Source organism: Homo sapiens, chromosome 3 (assembly GCF_000001405.40).
Source record: "Homo sapiens chromosome 3, GRCh38.p14 Primary Assembly".
Taxonomy (NCBI): Eukaryota; Metazoa; Chordata; class Mammalia; order Primates; family Hominidae; genus Homo; species Homo sapiens.
The window spans coordinates 132,340,227-132,361,451 of NC_000003.12; the positions used below are offsets into that span (position 1 = coordinate 132,340,227).

The 21,225-nt window shown below is 40.1% G+C and overlaps 1 protein-coding gene across 5 annotated transcripts in view; it reads left to right on the plus strand.

Annotated features, from left to right (window-relative positions):
• Window positions 1-21,225, plus strand: part of ACP3 (acid phosphatase 3) — a 50,896-nt gene that overhangs the window by 22,820 nt on the left and 6,851 nt on the right. For 3 of the 5 annotated variants that reach the window (NM_001134194.2, XM_011512947.3, XM_011512946.2), the window contains 5 exons: window positions 2,326-2,418; window positions 4,701-4,833; window positions 9,694-9,776; window positions 12,494-12,597; window positions 16,460-16,629. In NM_001134194.2, coding sequence (NP_001127666.1) covers window positions 2,326-2,418; window positions 4,701-4,833; window positions 9,694-9,776; window positions 12,494-12,597; window positions 16,460-16,629 — 583 coding nt within the window. Of the gene's footprint in view, window positions 1-2,325; window positions 2,419-4,700; window positions 4,834-9,693; window positions 9,777-12,493; window positions 12,598-16,459; window positions 18,616-21,225 lie in introns of those variants that run through there. The other 2 variants (NM_001099.5, NM_001292037.2) reach the window with 1 other exon arrangement.

Sequence of the window (21,225 nt, forward strand, 5' to 3'; positions counted from 1 at the left end):
ATCACTTGAACCCAGGAGGCGGAGGTTGCAGTGAGCCGAGATGGCGCCACTGCATTCCAGCCTGGGCAACAAGAACGAAATTCCGTCTCAAAAAAAAAAAAAAAAGACCAAATATATATTTCACAATATCATAGATAATGAATGGCATTTTTAAAAAAAAGTTTGTCTATTAACTGCTTACCGTGTTCTTGCCATGTAGGTTCTGTATCAATGTATTCTTATATGGCTTCTATATTTTGAGTCATGTTTAGAAAAGCTTTCCCCACTCCTAGGTTATAAAGGAAGTCTGCAATGCTTTCTTCTAATTCCACTCTAGCTTCATTTCTCATTTATATATTGAATTCATTTACAGTTCATACTGGTAGAAGGTATCCTGTTTAAGTTTTTTCCTGGAAGATTATCTAATTGCTCCATCATTGTTTATTGAATAGTTCATTTTTTTCCTACTTATTGAAGCTATTATATATTAAAATTCCCATAGGTGTGGGGTCTATTTATGTAATTTTTATTCTGTTTAATTTTTTATTAGCCAAAACTTGGGTTTTAACTATTAAGACTTTATAATATGCTTTAATATCTAAAGGGCTAGTCATCCCTCATTGCTTTTTCTGAGTTTCCATGGCTATGTTTTAATTTTCTTTGTGAACTTCAGAGTCAGCTTGTCTAGTTCCAAAAGTATTTTTTAATTTTTAGTATTTTCATTAGGATCATATTAAATTTATTTAACTTAGGGAGAATTTGCAACTTTTCACTGTCAAATCTTCCTAAGAATATGGTACATGTTCCTACTTGTTTTATCTTAAAGATTATTTTAGGGTTTTCTTCATATATGTCTTTACATTTTTTGTTAAGTTTGTTTCAGGTTTACAGTATCTCCAGTTTTCAAAAATGTGTATCTCTGATTTCTTCCTTTTGCCTATTTGCACTGGCCACTACTTACAGTATAATGTTATGGGCAGTGTTGGTAGCGGGTATTCTTGTCTTATTTCTGATTTTAGAGGAGTTTTCCTAATAAGCATACAGGCTTTTGAACCAAAATAGACATATTTTTATGAAATTAAGGAAATATCCACCTTTCTTATTTTCTTGAGTGTATTTTTTTAAATCAATATTAGTTGTTTAATCTCCTGAATGATTGTTTTAACATTTTTTAATACAATCAAATTATTTTTCTCCTTGGATTAATTACAATGATTGATTACATTCATAGATTTACCAATGTTGAACAATCTTTATATTTCTCAAATCAAACCCATTTCCTTTTATGTGACATTGAATTACTTCCTGTTATTTTACTTACACCTTTTGCATTGATATTTACAAGTGGCATTGAACTAATAGTTTTATTTTGGGGGCAATCTTTGTCAGTATCAGTGTTACACTTAATTCATAAGAAGTTTTTGAAAGTTTTCTTTCATCTTCTATGCTCCAGAACAGTTAAAATAGCATTAGAATAATTTACTCTTGAAAAGCTTGGTAGAATTCCTCTATGACAGTCATCTGGCCCTGGAGCTTTTATGTTTGAGAAGATGGCAGTAGGAGCTCTTTAACAATAATTTCTATTATTTTATGAAAATCTATTGAGGTTAATATTGGCAAATTGTAGTTCCCTAGAAATTTCATCCATCAGACAGACAATATCTTCCAAAAAGGCTTCCCAGAAATGGCTGCCAATTTCAGCAGTCAGATAGCTGAACATTGGGTCTCATTATTGCGACATTCCAAGAAACATACAGAACCTAGCGAAAGATTTGCATTCCATCCAAGTTTTATATGTATAGCCAAAGACCAAGCCCTATTTGTGTTGCATGTTCCAGGATGCTTTGGCCTGAAATATGCTTTCCTTTCTCACCTGGGACATATTTACACATGAGTTATACTTTACCCACTTCTAAAAAGAATCTGAGGCAGTACACTTCAATCCAATTCCAGCACGAACCAGGAACATGTGGCAGTCAGCCAGCATCTATCTACATTTTAAATGTAATAATAAGGAATAATCAATTCGTGTTTGTAAAATTCTTTGGAATGACATTATCGTAACCAATATTACTGGTGCATTTTTCTGTGAAGAACAGCGGTTCTCAACAGGGGCGCATTTGCCTCACAAGGAACATTTGGCAATGTCGGGAGATATTCTGGGTTATACAAGTGGGAGATTAGGAATGCTACTGGCATCTAGTGGGCAGAGGCCAGGATACTGTGAAACATCCTATAATGCACAGGAGAGCTCCCTACAACAAACAATTGTCTGGCCCAAAATATCAATAATGCTGAAGCTGAGAAACCTGTGTAGGAATTTTTCTTTCTCTGTTTGTGTTTCAGGATTTTATAGCTACCTTGGGAAAACTTTCAGGATTACATGGCCAGGACCTTTTTGGAATTTGGAGTAAAGTCTACGACCCTTTATATTGTGAGGTAAAAGAAAAAAAAATCACAGGTTAACTTGCAATCTGATTTTATGATTTATGCTTATTTTGAAATAGATGAATATCTTTTCTTTCACTTCTTTATGAATGTATTACTTATACTTCTTTTGACATTGAAACGTAATTCACAACTTCCTTATATTAACTTGAAAATGCTGACTTCTCTTTTCTCTCTATTATTATTTATGTTTTCACCCTTTAGAAAATTACAAGCAAAATTGCTTTTCTTCTATGAGTTTCCACTTTAGTTTTTTCCCCCCTTGGATTCAGTAGGAGCTTATTTATTTTGCAGCCACTCAAAAATGCTGGGTTCCTGTCCTTGGTCTTAATGAAAAAACAATGTTGTTATAAAGAAAGAGGGGAAAATTACCTGATTTCCGAATGTAGAAATAAACAAGCAAAATATAAGCCAGGCTATTTATATTTGCTTAACAAGAAAGAACTTCTTTCTTGCTTTGCGATGCATTTGAAATACCGTTTGTGGCCAGATAAATTACGATTGCTTTTCAAGGTTACATGGTGTTTCTCACTCACCATGCTCCACCTTCTGGCCAAAAGGAGTACTCTCTGTTCCTGTTTTCCCAACTAGCTCACTAAATATGGGGCAAGATTCTGACCACCCACCTAATTCATATTGACTTCTAACTTTGAGGTCATCGTGAGAGTCTGGGGGGCAGCAATTACTTCCGTAGTTCTATCTTAATAACAGATGACACAGTTTGCCTCCATCCATCCTAAAGTTAATTGACCCAATCACATGCTACTTTCCCAGTATTTTCACTTAATCATCAGCAACTATTTCAGTGAAAATTCATTAGCATTGTAAAAGACTCTTCAGTGAAAACAAGAGCCCCCATTTTTGTTCCAGTCATAATTTTTTTTTCTTCCTTACTACAGTTTGATCTGAGCTATTCCAAAATGTGGTCATGTCATGTGATATTTTTTCCAAATCTCTCTCACTTATTTCCTCTGTAGGTCACTCCACTTTGGTCTCCTCTTTCACGAACTCACTTTCTCTCACTCTTAATCCTGCCTTTGAAACTGGGGGACTCCTAATCAACTCTTCCTAACGGGTAATAAATATTGGCACAAGGTCTCACCTGCCCTGCTTGTACTTAACCATTCATTTAACGCATATTTACCAAGTATCCACTGTGTGCAAGGTGCAGGCTTTCCTCAAGAGTCAGTGAACTACAGCCAGGTATGGTGGCTCCTGCCTGTAATCCCAGCACTTCTGGGAGGCTGAGATGGGAGGATCATTTGAGGCTAGAAGTTCAGGATGAGCCTGGGCAGCATAATGAGGCCCTACCTCTACAAAACACTTTTAAAAATTAGCCACGTGTGGCCAGGTGTAGTGGCTCATGCCTATAATCCCAGCACTTTGGGCTAAGGTGGGCGGATTGCCTGAGCTCAGGAGTTCGAGACCAGCCTGGCCAACATGGCGAAATTTCATCTCTACTAAAAATACAAAAATTAGGCGGGTGTGGTGGCGCATGCCTGTAATCCCAGCTACTCGGGAGGCTGAGGCAAGAGAATCGCTTGAACCCAGGAAGTGGAGGTTGCAGTGAGCTGAAATCGTGCCACTGCACTCCAGGCTGGATGACAGAGCAAGATTCTGTCTCAAAAAAAAAAAAAAAAAAAAGTGCCACGTGTGGTGGCATGCACCTATAGTCCCAACTACTCAGGAGGCTGAGGTAGGAGGATTGCTTGAGTCCTGGAGTTTGAGGTTACAGTGAGCTGTGATGGCCACTGCATTCCAGCCTTGGTGACAGAGCAAGACAATGTCTCTGAAAAAAAAAAAAGAAAAAAAAAGTCAGCAAACTAGACCTTGATGGGGGTAGGGGAGAATATATTACTGAAGGCTCCAGAAATATATTGCCTTTCCTAACTGGCCTCTCAGGCAGCCCATTCAGCTTTTAAGGAAATATCATTTAACTCTGTCAGGTTCATAGAAAGATTTCTAACCCTTTCATAAAGGAATGAGGTATTATTTCCCTACTGCACCCTTACTCTGCAAAATATGAGCCACCCACTGATCCAGAGTTAAACCAAAAGCTATGGACTGGGTAGGAATGGGTAAATTCATTTATATAAGCTTTTCTTCTGAAAGTCAATACCACTACTTATCACAATATGAAGTTCTTTTAGAAAGAAATGGCAGGACAAGAAAGTCTGGCCCTACTAGTTCTTGTGAGGTGAAAAAGGATAAGTCAACAAAGAGGACAGTCATATAAATACACATACATTTTTCTTCCTTTTTCTTTGCTACAGAGTGTTCACAATTTCACTTTACCCTCCTGGGCCACTGAGGACACCATGACTAAGTTGAGAGAATTGTCAGAATTGTCCCTCCTGTCCCTCTATGGAATTCACAAGCAGAAAGAGAAATCTAGGCTCCAAGGGGGTAAGTATTAAAAAATGAGAGGAGCATATTGGATTTGTGGTTGAATGATCCAGGTCTGAGTCATTCCCTCCACTAATCAACTGTGTGATCTCAGACAGTTCACTTAATCACTCTTGCACCAGCTTCCATTCTGCAAAATGGGGATATTAATGATACCTACTTCATAGACAGTGAGTATTAAAATGAATGTATGTATTCAAATGGCTTAGAGCAAACAGTACCTGGTACATAATACACTGTCAATAAATGTCATATGTTAGTATAATCATAACTATTACTCACTCAAGCCCTTAGTTTTCTATCTGGAAAATGAAAGCTAAAGCTAAATGATCCTTTCCATCCCCTCCAGATCAAAAATCAAGGATCTGTGTCTGAGCCACATGAAAATCAATTGTGTCTTGTGGCCTATATGATGAATTTTTCAAGTGGGAGGTATGACAAAAGTGGCCTGTTTTCCTGAAACCCTGAGTGGTAGTCATTGTGAAAGCCGATAAAATATATTTTTCAGGCTAATTGTTATATTTTTCAGACCAATTATGTGCTGTTAAAATATGTTGCAATTGACAAGTTTATAACACAGCTTGAAATTTTTCATTGACATTGAAAGCTGTTGAGATTTATTTATCAGTGATGCCTCTTCTTGGTTAGAACTGGCTCTTCGTAGCACAGGACACCCTGTCATATGAAGGCAGACCCAGGCAAGAGGATGCTGGATTCTTGTAATCAGGATAAGTGGATGGAAGAAAAAAGTCAGGACCAGCAAAGACAAGGACAGATGTTGGGGCTTATGAGAGAAACTGGATGGGCAGGCCAAGATACCAAATGAGGTGTCAGACTTAGATGTGGTTATCATAGGTATTAAAACTAGGGATAAAGAAGAAGAGAAAGTTCATCATGTCAGGTTGACGTAATGAGGAAAGTCCAAGCCACAGGAGATGGTCCAAGTCAGGCTGACACACATATTCAAGGCATTTTGAGATTAATACAATCACATCATGATTCCAGCCATTGACAGACACTATTCACCACAGCATCAGGACAAGTCCATCAAAATCCCAAGAGAATGCATAGAGGCAAAGCATATTAGGGCTGGACCAGACTGGGAGGTTGTTCACTGAGGCTACTTAACTAGGGAAAAAATTCAAATCACTGACCAGAAAAGGAATCAATTATAGCTAGAAAAGCAGGGCTGCACACCAGGTATAAAGAGTGAGGCAAGCTGTAACCAGGGGAATGAGGTATGAAACCAGGATGGTCAGGAGCAAATTCATGTGAGATGAATAAAGTAGGTTGGGGCAAAAAATTTAGGACAGTGGCCATTAACGACATGAGGTTGTTGTAGATCTGCTATTACAAAAATCCTGATTGCATGGCACAGAGACAGACTTGATAGAAATGTGCAAGTCCTTACTTCACATTAAACACATGAGCAACAAGATCCAGCCTTGAGGAAGGGAGAGTCTCCAGAGAGGAGTCTTAGATGGAAGCTGGAGTGTTGGAAAAAATTACCAGGCGGGATACAGACTGTGTCTATGGGCAGAACCCAGGAAGAAGCTCAATCTTAAGTGCTTAACAACAAAAGATGTAGAGGGTGCCTTGGAAGCCACATAAGCACTCAGCCTCATTTCTGGCCCACCAGGTGCCAGCAGTGTGACTCAGTTGCAAGCCCCATCAAATGGTGGAAGCGGGACTCTTGATTTATTTCCCCCAACCTAGTTATGGTGGATTCAGGCACCTAGTCCCTCACAACTCAAAGTGCAGTCTACTTTTCAGCATCGGCATCAACTACCACCTGGCTAGAAACACAGGCCCCACTCCCAAACGAGTTGAATCAGGATCTGCATTTGAATAAAATCCCAACATGCTTTATACCAGACAGGAGTTGACAGTAGTCTAATAGTAGATGTAGGGATGTGTATGTATGAATAAGAAATGGAGTTGCTCCACTTTCCTCATGTTTCCTCTTTTATTTCCCTTGCCTACTAGAAGATTACATTTGGGAGAAGCCACTTCCCCTCTCTGGATCTCTGTTTCACTACCTATGAGGAGATTAAACTAGACTGTCTATAAGAGTCCTTCTCTGAGTTGTTCTCTGATCTTGGATTCTAAAGGCTGGCACTTGTATGAAACCAGCTGTCCTGCTTTCTGGAAAAAGTCCAGCGCCATTGTTAAGCAGGAAAATTTCTCCTGTGTGGTTCTGCCAAAACAAAAGCTCAGACTATTATTCAGATCTGGCTGGGCAAGAGAGATTTGTCAACTACATGTTTATTGAATGATGAAACAGCTGCACACATTCCTGCACAGAAAACACACATTGTCTAGGTGACAAAGAGTAATGTGGACACATCAGGGCCATCTTCTGACCTTTGCTAGTTTTTTTGTTAGTTTGTTTTGTTTTTGTTTCTTTGTATTTTTTGTTTGTTTTTGTGTCTGTTTTTGAGACAGGGTCTCATTCTGTCCTCCAGGCTGGAGTGCAGCAGCATGATCACGGCTCACTGTAGCCTTGACCTCCCAGGCTCAAGCGATCCTCCCACCTCAGACTCCCAAGTAGCTGGGACTACAGTCATGCACCACCATGCCCAGCTAAATTTTTTTTAAATTTTTTGCAAAGACAGGGTCTCCTTATGTTGCCCAGGCTAGTCTTGAACTCCTGGGCTCAAGCGATCCTCCACCTTGGCCTCCCAAAGTTCTGGGATTATAGGCATGAACTACTGTGCCCAGTCTAGAATTTTTATTTCATCATTTAACTTCAGGGGTGACACTGTTCAGTAAGACACACACACATACACACACACACACACACACACACACACCAAAAAAATCCCTGGGGCAAATTTAGGATCATATGGCTGGTCATATCAGTGAAAAGAGAGCTCTTCTTGCTCTAGGCCAGAGGTTGGCAAACTACTGCCTGTATGCCTAATCCAGCCCACTACCTGGTTTTGTAAATAAAGTTTTATTGAAATACAGCCACACTCATTCATTTATGCATTGTCTATTGCTGCTTTCATGCTACCACCGCAGAGCTGAGTAGTTGCAACAGATTTTTTAACCCACAAAGCCTAAGACATTTACTCTCTGGACTTTTACAGAAAAGTTTGCCAACCTCTGCTGTAGACTAGAAATGAAGGAAGCAAAGTTTATGTCTTCAGGTCAATGATATTTTTGTCTAGTTTACGAAGATTTAATAAAGGATACAACAGATAACTTTGAAGCTAGCTTTCCACGATAGCATGTTCTAATGATTACAAATAAAGGTTTTGACACAGGACATGCTAGATTTAAAGCCCTCCTTCTCTGCTTGCAAGTTGTATAATCTAATCAAGTTTCTGAGCCTCTCCAAGCCTCAGTTTCCCCTATAAAACAGAATATTGATATGCCAGAGCCTGAGGATAATCATGATAGTCACCCCTAATCACTCCTGGGATAAGGGTGTAATCATACCAGAACCAAGAACTGATATATTCATGACCAAAACTGCAGCCTGACTAAAAGGCACTTGTTGACAAAGGGCAACTTGCTGATTTCAGGTGGCTGTCATGGCTCCCAAAAGCTTGGCCACAGAGTTTAGCACCAACATGGCATGTGAATCAAGCTAAAGTCCCTAATGCATTCCACAGGGCAACCCTCTCTGAGATGGAGGGATTTAGACCTGTTAGACATGTACATTCAGATTATCCTATTCATCCTCAAGGAATTTCCAGTATCTTATAGAAAGAGCAGATACCTACCTCCTTAATTAACCCTTTTTTATACTTACTGGTGTACAGACCTGTCTCTTCTTACTATTTTATGAGTTTTTGGAGGGCAGGGACCAGGTCTGATTCTCCTAGCACAGTATCTGGCGCATCATAGCTGCTCAGTGTGTGTTTGTTGAGTGGACTACAGAACCTGAGATTATAGTCAATCTGTTAATATCAATGCCCTGCTCATTACAACTCACACACACACACACCCTAACACACCCTACTGGTCATTCTCAGCCAAGAGAGCACATGATGCAGGGTAAAGAGACCAACAGAGACACCAGATAGTTACAGACATCTCTGAAGCAACATGTCCTTAAAACAGGATCTGTTTTGGCACCACAAGGTACCCCACAGCCCTCAGTGCCTAGAAATAGGATAAATACTGTAAGCTCTATATCTGTCTTTCACCACCTCAGGAGCAACAGCAGTTAGGTGTTCAGATGTGAAGTGTGAAGAGCAAAAGTTTCCTCTACTGAAGACAGACAGAAACTCAAATGAAAGCTAAAGATGCTGGCTGTCCCCCCAATAGTGACACCTAGGGTAACCTGGAGAAATGGTCCACAGAGAATAGTCCATGATCTGTACAAACATCCAGAGAGCTGCTTTCTCCCATGGCCTCCCACAGGTCTGACTGCCAGAGAGTAGAAGCAAGAGGGGTGAAAATAGAGGAGTACCTGCTGTGCTGTCATTTCAGGTCTGCTCTGGAGAAGAACATGGGCTAAGAATTATCTTTTATGATCTGAAAAAGCTGTCTGAAGTTCCTTCCAAGCTTATCAGCCTCCTAACCTGAGCTTTAACAAAACCCGGTATGGTAGAGTCCTAGTGTGCCAATCCAGCTTTCCTTACCTGGCTGTGTGAGTCACTTAATATCTTTGGACTTAAGATTCCTTACCTAAAAATGAGGGTTGAGACGTAGGATTCAGTTTAAAAAAAAAAAAGTATGTAAATCACATTACCTAGCACAGAGCAGATGCTCAATAAAATTAGATCTTTGCCCCTCTTCTTAAGTCATGGCAGGGAGAGTCCGCAACTATGAAGTGACAAAAAGCTAATGAACTAAAATAGAAGCTTATGTTTGGTTCAGTTTGGTTATTGATTCATCTTCTTTAAGGTGTCCTGGTCAATGAAATCCTCAATCACATGAAGAGAGCAACTCAGATACCAAGCTACAAAAAACTCATCATGTATTCTGCGGTAAGTATTTTCATCTTCATTTAACATATGTTTGTTCAAGTGTGTGATCTCTTGAAGCACAGGACCTCATCTTTTTTTAATCTTCATTTCCCCATCTCCTTGTACGTGGTAGGCACTTGCACAAAGCTTTTAGAATTAAATGCATCATTCTGTCCTTTAAGGGATTTATAATCTAAACTAACAAGAAGACAAACATAAACACTATACAAAATGGGATGGAAATACCATGCAGGCAAGTGCTATGGCACCTCAGAAAATCTAGCCATCCCTTCTGTTCCAAGAGGGTGGAGAAGAGAAGCAGAAAGGCTTCCTAGACAAGGCAGCACATCCAACACATCAAAATGAAAGGGGTTAGTAAGTGCTCCTCACTAGTGTGTAGGACAAATAAAGTAAATTATTAGGACAGAAGTGGAAGGCCAGGAATGTTGTGTCCAAAAAGTGGTACCAAATTAGTGGATGTTAACTGTGCTGCTCAATATGGAACCTAGTAGCCAGAAGTAGCTACTTACATTTAAATTAATTATGATTAAGTAGAATGAAAAATTAAGTCCCTCGGTTGTATTAGCCACATTTCAGGTGTTCAATAGCCATATATAGCCAGTGGCTACTGAATTGGAGAGCACAGATATACAACATCTCCATCATCATGGAAGGTTTTTTAGATAGCCCTGATATGGAGTGTCAGAAGTTTATGCTGGATGGCAGCTGAAGGGCCATGTTGTCCTGCTGCTTCTTTGTTTAATTGTAGAAAGAAGCAAGGAAGCAAGGGAGAACCCCCCTGTCAGTGTTTGCTCAGGGAAGGCAGGGCAGGAGTGACAGGATAGGAGCAGCATTTTGGAAATTAATTATTTTATAGAATAACTGGATGTTGGGAACAGGATATGGTGTAGAAAGCTTTTGTGATAGTCTAGAAAAATGGGGATATGGCCTAAAATTAGGGCAGCGGCAGGAGAGGAAAAGAAGTGAGCCAGGTTACAAGAAAAGCTGAGTGTGCATTCTCAGTGATGAATTGGAAGTGGGTGGAAGACAATGATGTGGAAGGTGAAGCCCCAGATGAAGTCAAGATTTCAGTTTTCAGTGGCAGGAAGGAGGTGGTCTTGGGCCAGGCAAATGTACTGATTAGGCAATGGGTTTGAAATGCCACAGGGGCATCCCAGCAGAAAACTTCAGATGGCAAAGAGAATAGAAGGAGGAAAGGGAAGAAGGACTGCAACTCAAAGTTGGAGCTACATTTGGGAGTAGAAAGAAAAGAGAGCAAGAGATCTTAGAAAAGGCTTTCATCTTGGAGAAGCCAGGGAGAGAAGAGTCTGAGACGCCAAGGAGAGACACAGTGTTTGGGGAAAATTCTGCAATTGTATTATACATTCAAATAGCTGCCCATGGAGTCTGGGATGAGCAGGGAAACAGGACATAGCATGCTGACTCCTTTCACTCACATCTCCATGACAAAAGGTTTCTCAGCTGTGGCTGGAGAAAGAAAGTCATGTTTTCATTCATGCAAGAAGGTGAAAGAGGTGACTGAAGATGCCAGGAAGTTTGTTTATTATCAGGAGCCCTAAATGGTATAGACTAGGGAAATAGGCCTGGGCAGGAGCAGAGTGCTTCCTGGAGAGAGATAGGCCTGAAATTAGTCATTTCTGCCAATTTTCGTAGTGTCTAATCTGATTTCTAGTTTTAACTTGTGGTGTGACTTCCAGCATGTCATATCCGTAGCTCCTTTTTTTTTTTCTCTATTAGATTACTTCTAACGCCTTTTGAATATGTGCACGCTGCCATACAGTTTAGGCAGCCAAATGTTATCCCAATTTTGCAGATATGGAAGTTGAGGACTGCCTAAGATTAGATAGCTAATCAGTGGCAGAAAGGGGGTTGAAAACCACTCCCCTATACCTTCCAGCCACTCTGGGGTAAACATTTAGCTTTACAATTATTTTAAATTGCATCCTATACTTCCTTGTATTTTATCTTCCCTAAACATTTAAACCTCATATATTCTTCCACAACTTTAAATCACAGATGATGCTAATCTATAGAAAAATATAATCTAGCATTAATGTGTTTCAAAATATTTCAAAAAGGCACAGCACTTAAGGAGGCTTGATTCAAATTTACTTTCTTCCATTTGGGGTTATATGACATTAAGCAAGTTGCTTAATTTCCCTGGGTCTCAATTTCTTCATCTTTTATTATTATTTTTAAAATTATTTTATTTTATCGAGATGGAGTCCCGCTCTGTCACCTTCTGAGTGCAGTGGCACGATCTTGGCTCACTGCAACCTCTGCCTCCCGGGTTCAAGCGATTCTCCTGCCTCAGCCTCCCAAGTAGCTGGATTTACAGGCCCATGCCACCACACCCAGCTTTTTTTTTTTTTTTTAGTAGGGATGGGGTTTCACCATGTTGGTCATGCTGGTCTCGAACTCCTGACCTCAAGTGATCCACCTGCCTCGGGCTCCCAAAGTGCTGGGATTACAGGCATGAGCTACCACGCCCAGCCAATTTCTTCATCTTTTAAATGAAAATAATGATACATATCTAAATCATACTGCCTAGCACACCGCTAATGCTCAACCAAAATCTTTCCTTCTCTACTTATTAAGTCATTGTGGGCGTATGGGAAATTTAATTGAATCAGAAGCCATCATGGTGCTGTACAAGTGCTTCATACCTATTGAATGTGAATCTGAACAGGCGATAAAATTGATTTCAATCTCTGTAGCATGACACTACTGTGAGTGGCCTACAGATGGCGCTAGATGTTTACAACGGACTCCTTCCTCCCTATGCTTCTTGCCACTTGACGGAATTGTACTTTGAGAAGGGGTAAGTGACTAAGTGCTTTTCAAAATCAGTATCACTGGACCTTGGGTTTCATTATTATTATTTTGGGTTAAGGGTTGTGTGCCTGTTTGTCTTTGATTTGGTTTTATATTCAGAGGGAAGAATGGTGGTAACAAGATCTTTGCTAGTCATGTCTCTTTTTTCTTTTTCATGAAGACTTTTACTGGAAAATAATATACACAGTAGATGAAAAAATTGGGAAATAGCCTATGTAACAGAAATTACATTTTTAAAAAAATTAAGGTATTCTAAGAAGTAGGCATGTATTGTATATATACTTGGCAAGAGAAAAATTTCTTGATGGTTATATAATAATATTTTTTCAATTAAAGAATTCAAACATATTCATTCAGCTTCTGATGATTCATATCCACAAGTCAAGATTCTTAAAGTACAATTTCTAACTGGTGTCTACCTCTGTGTGACCTGGTGTGGCCCTCCCCAGATGACCACAGCTTAGCTTGAACCCATTAGAAGGGTCAAAGTTAGCGTAGCCAAATGTCCCAGTTCACCAGAATTGACCCATGAAATCTGGTGTTCTCAGAACATGTGAATTTCATTGTTAAAACCAGAAATGTCCTGGAAAAACTGGGGAAGAATTGATTATCACACCAAGGTCATACCAAAAATATTTATCTGCTGTGACAACGACATTCTCATTGGGAGGAGAAGAAGGAGGTATTTGGAACAAGTCACCAGACTTCATGGGATATTATTAGTGAAATAAGAGCAAGGAAAGGGCTGAGTTAAGGCAGTGACCCCAGAGTTTGTTTTGGGATTAGTCAGGGAGATCTATTTTGCCCTTCCCTCAAGGCATTCACAATAGCTGCACACCAACCTGACTGTGCAGTTACATGGGGACCTGGCTCAAAAGAGCCCATGCTTGTTTTAATGATCTGCTGTGGCCATCTTTAAATTGTAATAATGTTTAAACAATGGGCCCTGTATTTCATCTTGCAAATTTTGTAGTCTTGGATGTAGCTTTCTGGCCCCTGAATTTGTAGAGTAAGAAAGTAACAGCACAGAGACTTCATTCTCAACCAATATCTTCACTGCTTACAAAGAAGTGAGTTCTGCACAGTTAGGGACAGGTAGATACATTCTTTATTGAACCTCTAACTGAGTGTCAGGCACAATGAACTAGAACTAAAATGTGGTCTTAGTTAACCTTGCTCTCAAATATCTAGAGTCAGCATGGAGAGGTAAGACCCACAAAATGGAGACTGGCCAAATAGAACAGAAAATGGGAATGAAACGACTAGAGACATAAAACCCTCTCTTAATAACAAGCCCGGCACAAGTCTGCCCATCAGAAGGCCAGCTCTGGGCACAGAGTTAATAAATCCAACCAAATTCCAGGATCAGCTTCAGGAGCAGGCACCATCTCCTTTGGGATAAGACAAGAGAAGCTACTGACTCTACTCGTACCTCCCTGTTCTCTGGTTTCTGGACCCCAGTGGTCCAGAGCTTGCTTTCTCAGTGCACAGAAGCATTTTCTCCCACTGAATTGCCTTGTTTTACGACCCTGAGTTAAATCTATATTACAAATCAAGTGTGGAGTATTTTTTCAACTGAAAGGCAGTGACATACAGAAAAAATTAACCAAGGGCCACGTAAAGGTCAAGTCCAATTTGTTGTTGTATTAGGATTTTTTTTATTGGCACTCCAGGGAAATATCAAAGGTGAAACGTGATTGCTTTTAAATTAGGATCAAGGAGGCTTCGAGTTAACGAATTCTGTCTAAGCCTGCTTATTAGGTGATCCTGACTGTGAAGTGATCTCACATTTTCTTATGAGAAGATACGGAGAGAGACAGAAAGAGAGAGTATTTTAGATTTTCAACCATCTTAAATACGTAAACTTTTCAGGTTGTAGAAAAGGTAGCTAAAAATATTCTTAAAAGATTTAATTTTGGGTTAGATACAGAGATTTAAAATCATAGACTATATAAAATAATTCATTAAGTTAATATTGCTTTGTTTCACTTTTACATTTTATAAAATGATTTTATCTAAACTCTTTGTACTCATCTTTGGCTTGTGTCTTCACCACTAAAGCCAATTTTGAGTCTTTTAAAATTGTTTCCCAGATATATTCACTAATAAAAGATAATTTTGTCTTCTATATAGATGAACCTCAGATTTTTGAAGTCTTAACCCAATGAAAATTAATTTCACACTTATCTAACAGTACAATGCAGGTGTACATTAATAGATGTGATTCACACGTGGTGATTCAGGCACCCAGGGTTCCCTCTTTGGACCTACGGTTTCAAGAGTGCTGTGCTCACTTGCAGGCAGCTTGTAGAAAGGAATGAAAGGGTGGAGGCAGCAACCCGCTTATCAACCACGTCAGCCTTTTAAAGGGGACACATATCATTTCTGCTCACTTTCTACTGGCTAAATTAGTGACTTGGTCCTACCTAGGTACAACGTAGTCTTGGCAATGTGGTCACTTCTGAGCCATAATTCAATTCTATGGAAAGAGAATAACAGAGTTTGATGGAGTATTGGTCATCTAGGCCATATCATCTTAAGACAGAAGATGCTGTTACTGAAAAAGTTATTCCAAGATATAAGTACCCATTCATAATACATATTAGGGAGGTTTTTGTAAGTTTTATAGACATCTTATTTTATTTTATCTTATTTTATTTTATTTTATTTTATTTTTATTTTATTTTATTTTATTTTTGAGATGGAGTCTCGCTCTGTTGCCCAGGCTAGAGTGTAGTGGCGTGATCTCGGCTAACTGCAACCTCCACCTCCCAGGTTCAAGTGATTCTCCCGCCCCAGCCTCCCAAATAGCTGGGACTATAGGCATGTGCCACCACACCCAGCTAATTTTTGTATTTTTAGTAGAGACGGGGTTTCACCGTGTTAGCCAGGATGGTCTCGATCTCCTGACCTCGTGATCCACCCGCCTCGACCTCCCAAAGTGCTGGGATTACAGGCGTGAGCCACTGCGCCCAGCCTTATAGACATAAGTGAATATTTGCTGTTACTATGTTTATATGGCTTTTTAAAGTGATGTTTTAAAAGGCTTGTTTATAATGACAACCAAAAGTAGCCATTGTAAGGTTACACCAAAAGAAGGATCTCTAAATCCTTCTTGAGTTCCCCTCCTGACTCCTTGATTAGCAAATGGCTTCCATAAGCAACTCACGCTGGTTTAACTCAGGTTAGTTTACACCATTGGACCTTCCCAAATAGTACATTGTTTTTTTGAGATAAAGCATTGAGAGAGCTCTCCTTAACGTGACACAATGGAAGGACTGGAACACATACCCACATCTTTGTTCTGAGGGATAATTTTCTGATAAAGTCTTGCTGTATATTCAAGCACATATGTTATATATTATTCAGTTCCATGTTTATAGCCTAGTTAAGGAGAGGGGAGATACATTCAGAAAGAGGACTGAAAGAAATACTCAAGTAGGAAAACAGAAAAAGAAAAAAAGGAGCAAATGAGAAGCCTAAAAAGAAGGGAGGAGGAGAAGGAAAACCCAACACCCCCACCTGCCTCCCACTTCTTATCCAAAGGCTCAAAGTCCCACCCAGCTCCCTGCAACCATCACTTCTCACCACCTCCTCTGATTTAGCATCCTGGTGCCTACCTCCTATGTCCCTGTTCATCTAACAAACCAGCCCTCCCATTTCCACCCTGCAAATCTCTCCCGCCTGCCCCAGTCTCCCCATTTACACACCTAAATTGGCTAAAATCTCCCCATAAGTTTTTCCATTAGTCCCTCAACTGGCATGTAATAGTCCAAGTGGAAAGAAATTCAGTGGCAGTTCAACAACACAGAACTAACAGAGCTCTCTCCTCTGCCTTTGTCTGCCAGGGAGTACTTTGTGGAGATGTACTATCGGAATGAGACGCAGCACGAGCCGTATCCCCTCATGCTACCTGGCTGCAGCCCCAGCTGTCCTCTGGAGAGGTTTGCTGAGCTGGTTGGCCCTGTGATCCCTCAAGACTGGTCCACGGAGTGTATGACCACAAACAGCCATCAAGGTACTGAAGACAGTACAGATTAGTGTGCACAGAGATCTCTGTAGAAGGAGTAGCTGCCCTTTCTCAGGGCAGATGATGCTTTGAGAACATACTTTGGCCATTACCCCCAGCTTTGAGGAAAATGGGCTTTGGATGATTATTTTATGTTTTAGGGACCCCCAACCTCAGGCAATTCCTACCTCTTCACCTGACCCTGCCCCCACTTGCCATAAAACTTAGCTAAGTTTTGTTTTGTTTTTCAGCGTTAATGTAAAGGGGCAGCAGTGCCAAAATATAATCAGAGATAAAGCTTAGGTCAAAGTTCATAGAGTTCCCATGAACTATATGACTGGCCACACAGGATCTTTTGTATTTAAGGATTCTGAGATTTTGCTTGAGCAGGATTAGATAAGGCTGTTCTTTAAATGTCTGAAATGGAACAGATTTCAAAAAAAAACCCCACAATCTAGGATGGGAACAAGGAAGGAAAGATGTGAATAGGCTGATGGGCAAAAAACCAATTTACCCATCAGTTCCAGCCTTCTCTCAAGGAGAGGCAAAGAAAGGAGATACAGTGGAGACATCTGGAAAGTTTTCTCCACTGGAAAACTGCTACTATCTGTTTTTATATTTCTGTTAAAATATATGAGGCTACAGAACTAAAAATTAAAACCTCTTTGTGTCCCTTGGTCCTGGAACATTTATGTTCCTTTTAAAGAAACAAAAATCAAACTTTACAGAAAGATTTGATGTATGTAATACATATAGCAGCTCTTGAAGTATATATATCATAGCAAATAAGTCATCTGATGAGAACAAGCTATTTGGGCACAACACATCAGGAAAGAGAGCACCACGTGATGGAGTTTCTCTAGAAGCTCCAGTGATAAGAGATGTTGACTCTAAAGTTGATTTAAGGCCAGGCATGGTGGTTTACGCCTATAATCCCAGCATTTTGGGAGTCCGAGGTGGGCAGATCACTTGAGCTCAGGAGGTCAAGATCAGCCTGGGCAACATGGTGAAACCTGGTCTCTACATAAAATACAAAAACTTAGATGGGCATGGTGGTGTGTGCCTATAGTCCCACTACTTGTGGGGCTAAGGCAGGAGGATCACTTGAGCCCCGGAGGTCGAGGCTACAGTGAGCCAAGAGTGCACTACTGTACTCCAGCCAGGGCAAGAGAGCGAGACCCTGTCTCAATAAATAAATAAATAAATAAATAAATAAATAAATAAATAAATAAAAACAAAGTTGATTAAGAAAGGAAGTATAGGCCAGGCACAGTGGCTCACACCTGTAATCCTTGCATTTTGGAAGGCTGAGGCAGGAGGATCACTTTAGGCCTGGTGTGTTCAAGACCAGCCTGGTCAACATAGTGAGACACTGTCTCTACCAAAAAAAGGAAGGAAGGGACACATATCAAACTGAAACAAAATTAGAAATGTAATTATGTTCTAAGTGCCTCCAAGTTCAAAACTTATTGGAATGTTGAGAGTGTGGTTACGAAATACGTTAGGAGGACAAAAGGAATGTGTAAGTCTTTAATGCCGATATCTTCAGAAAACCTAAGCAAACTTACAGGTCCTGCTGAAACTGCCCACTCTGCAAGAAGAAATCATGATATAGCTTTGCCATGTGGCAGATCTACATGTCTAGAGAACACTGTGCTCTATTACCATTATGGATAAAGATGAGATGGTTTCTAGAGATGGTTTCTACTGGCTGCCAGAATCTAGAGCAAAGCCATCCCCGCTCCTGGTTGGTCACAGAATGACTGACAAAGACATCGATTGATATGCTTCTTTGTGTTATTTCCCTCCCAAGTAAATGTTTGTCCTTGGGTCCATTTTCTATGCTTGTAACTGTCTTCTAGCAGTGAGCCAAATGTAAAATAGTGAATAAAGTCATTATTAGGAAGTTCAAAAGCATTGCTTTTATAATGAACTTAGAAAAACGTATGTGTGTGTGTTTAATTAGAATAAAATTCCTCTAGGCAGATTTCAGGAGCTCCCTTTGTGTTTGGGGTTTTTGTTTTAGTATAACAAGATGGAAAATATTAATATAAAGTAAAATGATTTGACTGGCTTAAATGAACATTTTACATTGAAAATATAGTTTGGACTTTACCACTTCAGATAAAGGTGAAGCTGTGGATGGCTCTGCCTCATCTATTTAAGATGGAATTTGCTAAGGAAACACCCTCAGGAAGTGCACAATATACTAGGGAAGTAAAGAGATACATACTGTACAACATGGAAAAACCAGGGCTATGTCTTATGACTACACAGATTACTGTGGGAACAAGAGTTATCCAGATTTGGAGTAGGGGAAGTAAGGAAGGTCAGGAAAGGCTTTCTGCAGAAGGTAGCAACTGTACCACGTAAAATCAGTTTGAGGCCAGGCGAGGTGGCTCAGGCCTGTAATCCCAGCACTTTGGGAGGCCAAGGTGGGCGGATCACAAGGTCAGGAGATTGAGACCATCCTGGCTAACACGGTGAAACCCCATCTCTACTAAAAATACAAAAAGCCGGGCATGGTGGCGGGCACCTGTAGTCCCAGCTACTCGGGAGGCTGAGGCAGGAGAATGGCGTGAACCCGGGAAGCGGAACTTGCAGTGAGCCGAGATCGCGCCACTGCACTCCAGCCTGGGCAACAGAGCGAGACTCTGTCTAAATAAATAAATAAATAAATAAATAAATTTGTTACCTTTTCCCCTGACCCTACTCTTGTCTATCTTGATGAGCAGCAATACCTGGTAACTTAGGAGTTATTTTTTACCCTACCCTCTCCTTCATTCTCCATAGTCTCTCACCTCCTCTTGTAAATCTACCTGTGGTATGTTTGCAGAATTCTTTCCCTCAAAACACAAATAACAATATGCAGGTAGAGTGAAATATGATTAAGCAGCAAAAAATGTTAATAGAAAGAAAAATGTAAGGGTTGATGTGCTGCAGCCCGCTCATACAGATCTCAAGAGTGGAATGTGTCCATCAGTTCCCAACTCTCAGTTCAACCACTTCACCTGGGCAGCTCCAATGTGGCAGGAGTATTTTCACCAAAGAAATTAAATGCTACAAATCCTACCACCACACCACTGGTTTGGGCTCATAGAAAGTTTGTTAAGAGTCTGTGACATGAGGTGGCCTCTAATACAGTGAGTTCAATATTTGAACTTCTGTAAAGAAAAGGATTAGATTTATTCAGTATGATCTTAAAGAGGGATGCTAGGGGCAGCAGGTAAAAATTTCAGGGAGACAGATTTTCGTTCAGTGTTGGGAAACTCCTGAGGTAAGAAGTGCCCATTAGGCTGGGTGGCCACTCACCTTAGAAGAGAGATACTACAGAGAAGGCTGAAACATGGAAGATTGTAGGGGTTGAGTGGCTCATTAGTTTGGCCACCAAATCTAGCAAATAAAAGTACAGGATGCCGAGATAAATTTGACAAAAGGCTGTAACTGCCAAGTTTTTGTAATTCATTGGAAAAAAAAAAAAAAACAATACAGGACACTTAGGATGTTCTGAAAAAGCCGATACAGGAAGCAGGACAAAATCATTAAATATAGGATATGTCCTATATATGCAAGATACTTTGCAACCCTACTCCTTAGAGTAGGGGTTTCCACCCATTAAATTCTATCCATAACTATAAGCAGTGTTTTTAGCTAGTGCCAGTAGGCTCACTTAACCAGATTCCAGATCGTATCAATTAAATTCACCAGAGTCTTTGCTGGAAAATTCACAAGTCTAAGGCCATAGCACATTGCTTGAAAATAATAAAATTTGTCAAACTGCTTCTTTAATTCCAACATTTTACTAACACATTCAGACTTTCTTCACTAGTGCTCTCCCACCCCCATCTCAATGTCCAACTCTAATTATTTCACAAGAAGGAGACTTACTAGTGAGAAGTCCCAGTTTTCTCTCATTATCTTTCTAAAGCTGAGAATCTACAGCACAAATACACATGCCCAAGATTCAACCTTGAGCTTCTTAAAGGCAGGATCCATACATGTTTCCTCTTTGAGTGTTCAGCCAGTAGACAACGCCTAGAACCTTGTGCCTTCAATCAATATTTGCTAACTGAATACATGTCCAGCCCTGCATACCTAGCATGGCTTCCTTGTGGCTGAGCTCAGAAGTCAGAAGCCTGGAACTCAGTTTATTTATAAATAAGAGAGAGAAGCTATGAATGAGCCTCAAAAGTGATTATACTGTAGAGACCCAATCATTGGCCATAAACACATTTCTATGTGCCAACATGTCTGTAGTATTTGACTTCTGTTTTCAGCATAGTTGTTTTGGCATTCTCATGTTCCTCCATTGCTATTAAAAGCCCTTGTTCAATGATATCCCTTGTTCAGTGATATCCCTTGTTCAATGATATCCCTTGTTCAATGATATCCAGCACCGCTCCTCCCTCAAAGATGAGGCCATCTGATTAAAATAACTGTTTCCTCATTCTTGTTGCCATTATCTTCAGTTTCTTGGAATATATCTCACCATTTGCTAAAGACATTGGCAACTTGCTTTGGTATGCTCCGATTCACTCCTCACTCCACTCCTGCCCTAAACCTAGGCAATTCTGACAGCTATAACGCTGACCTGTCCCATACACT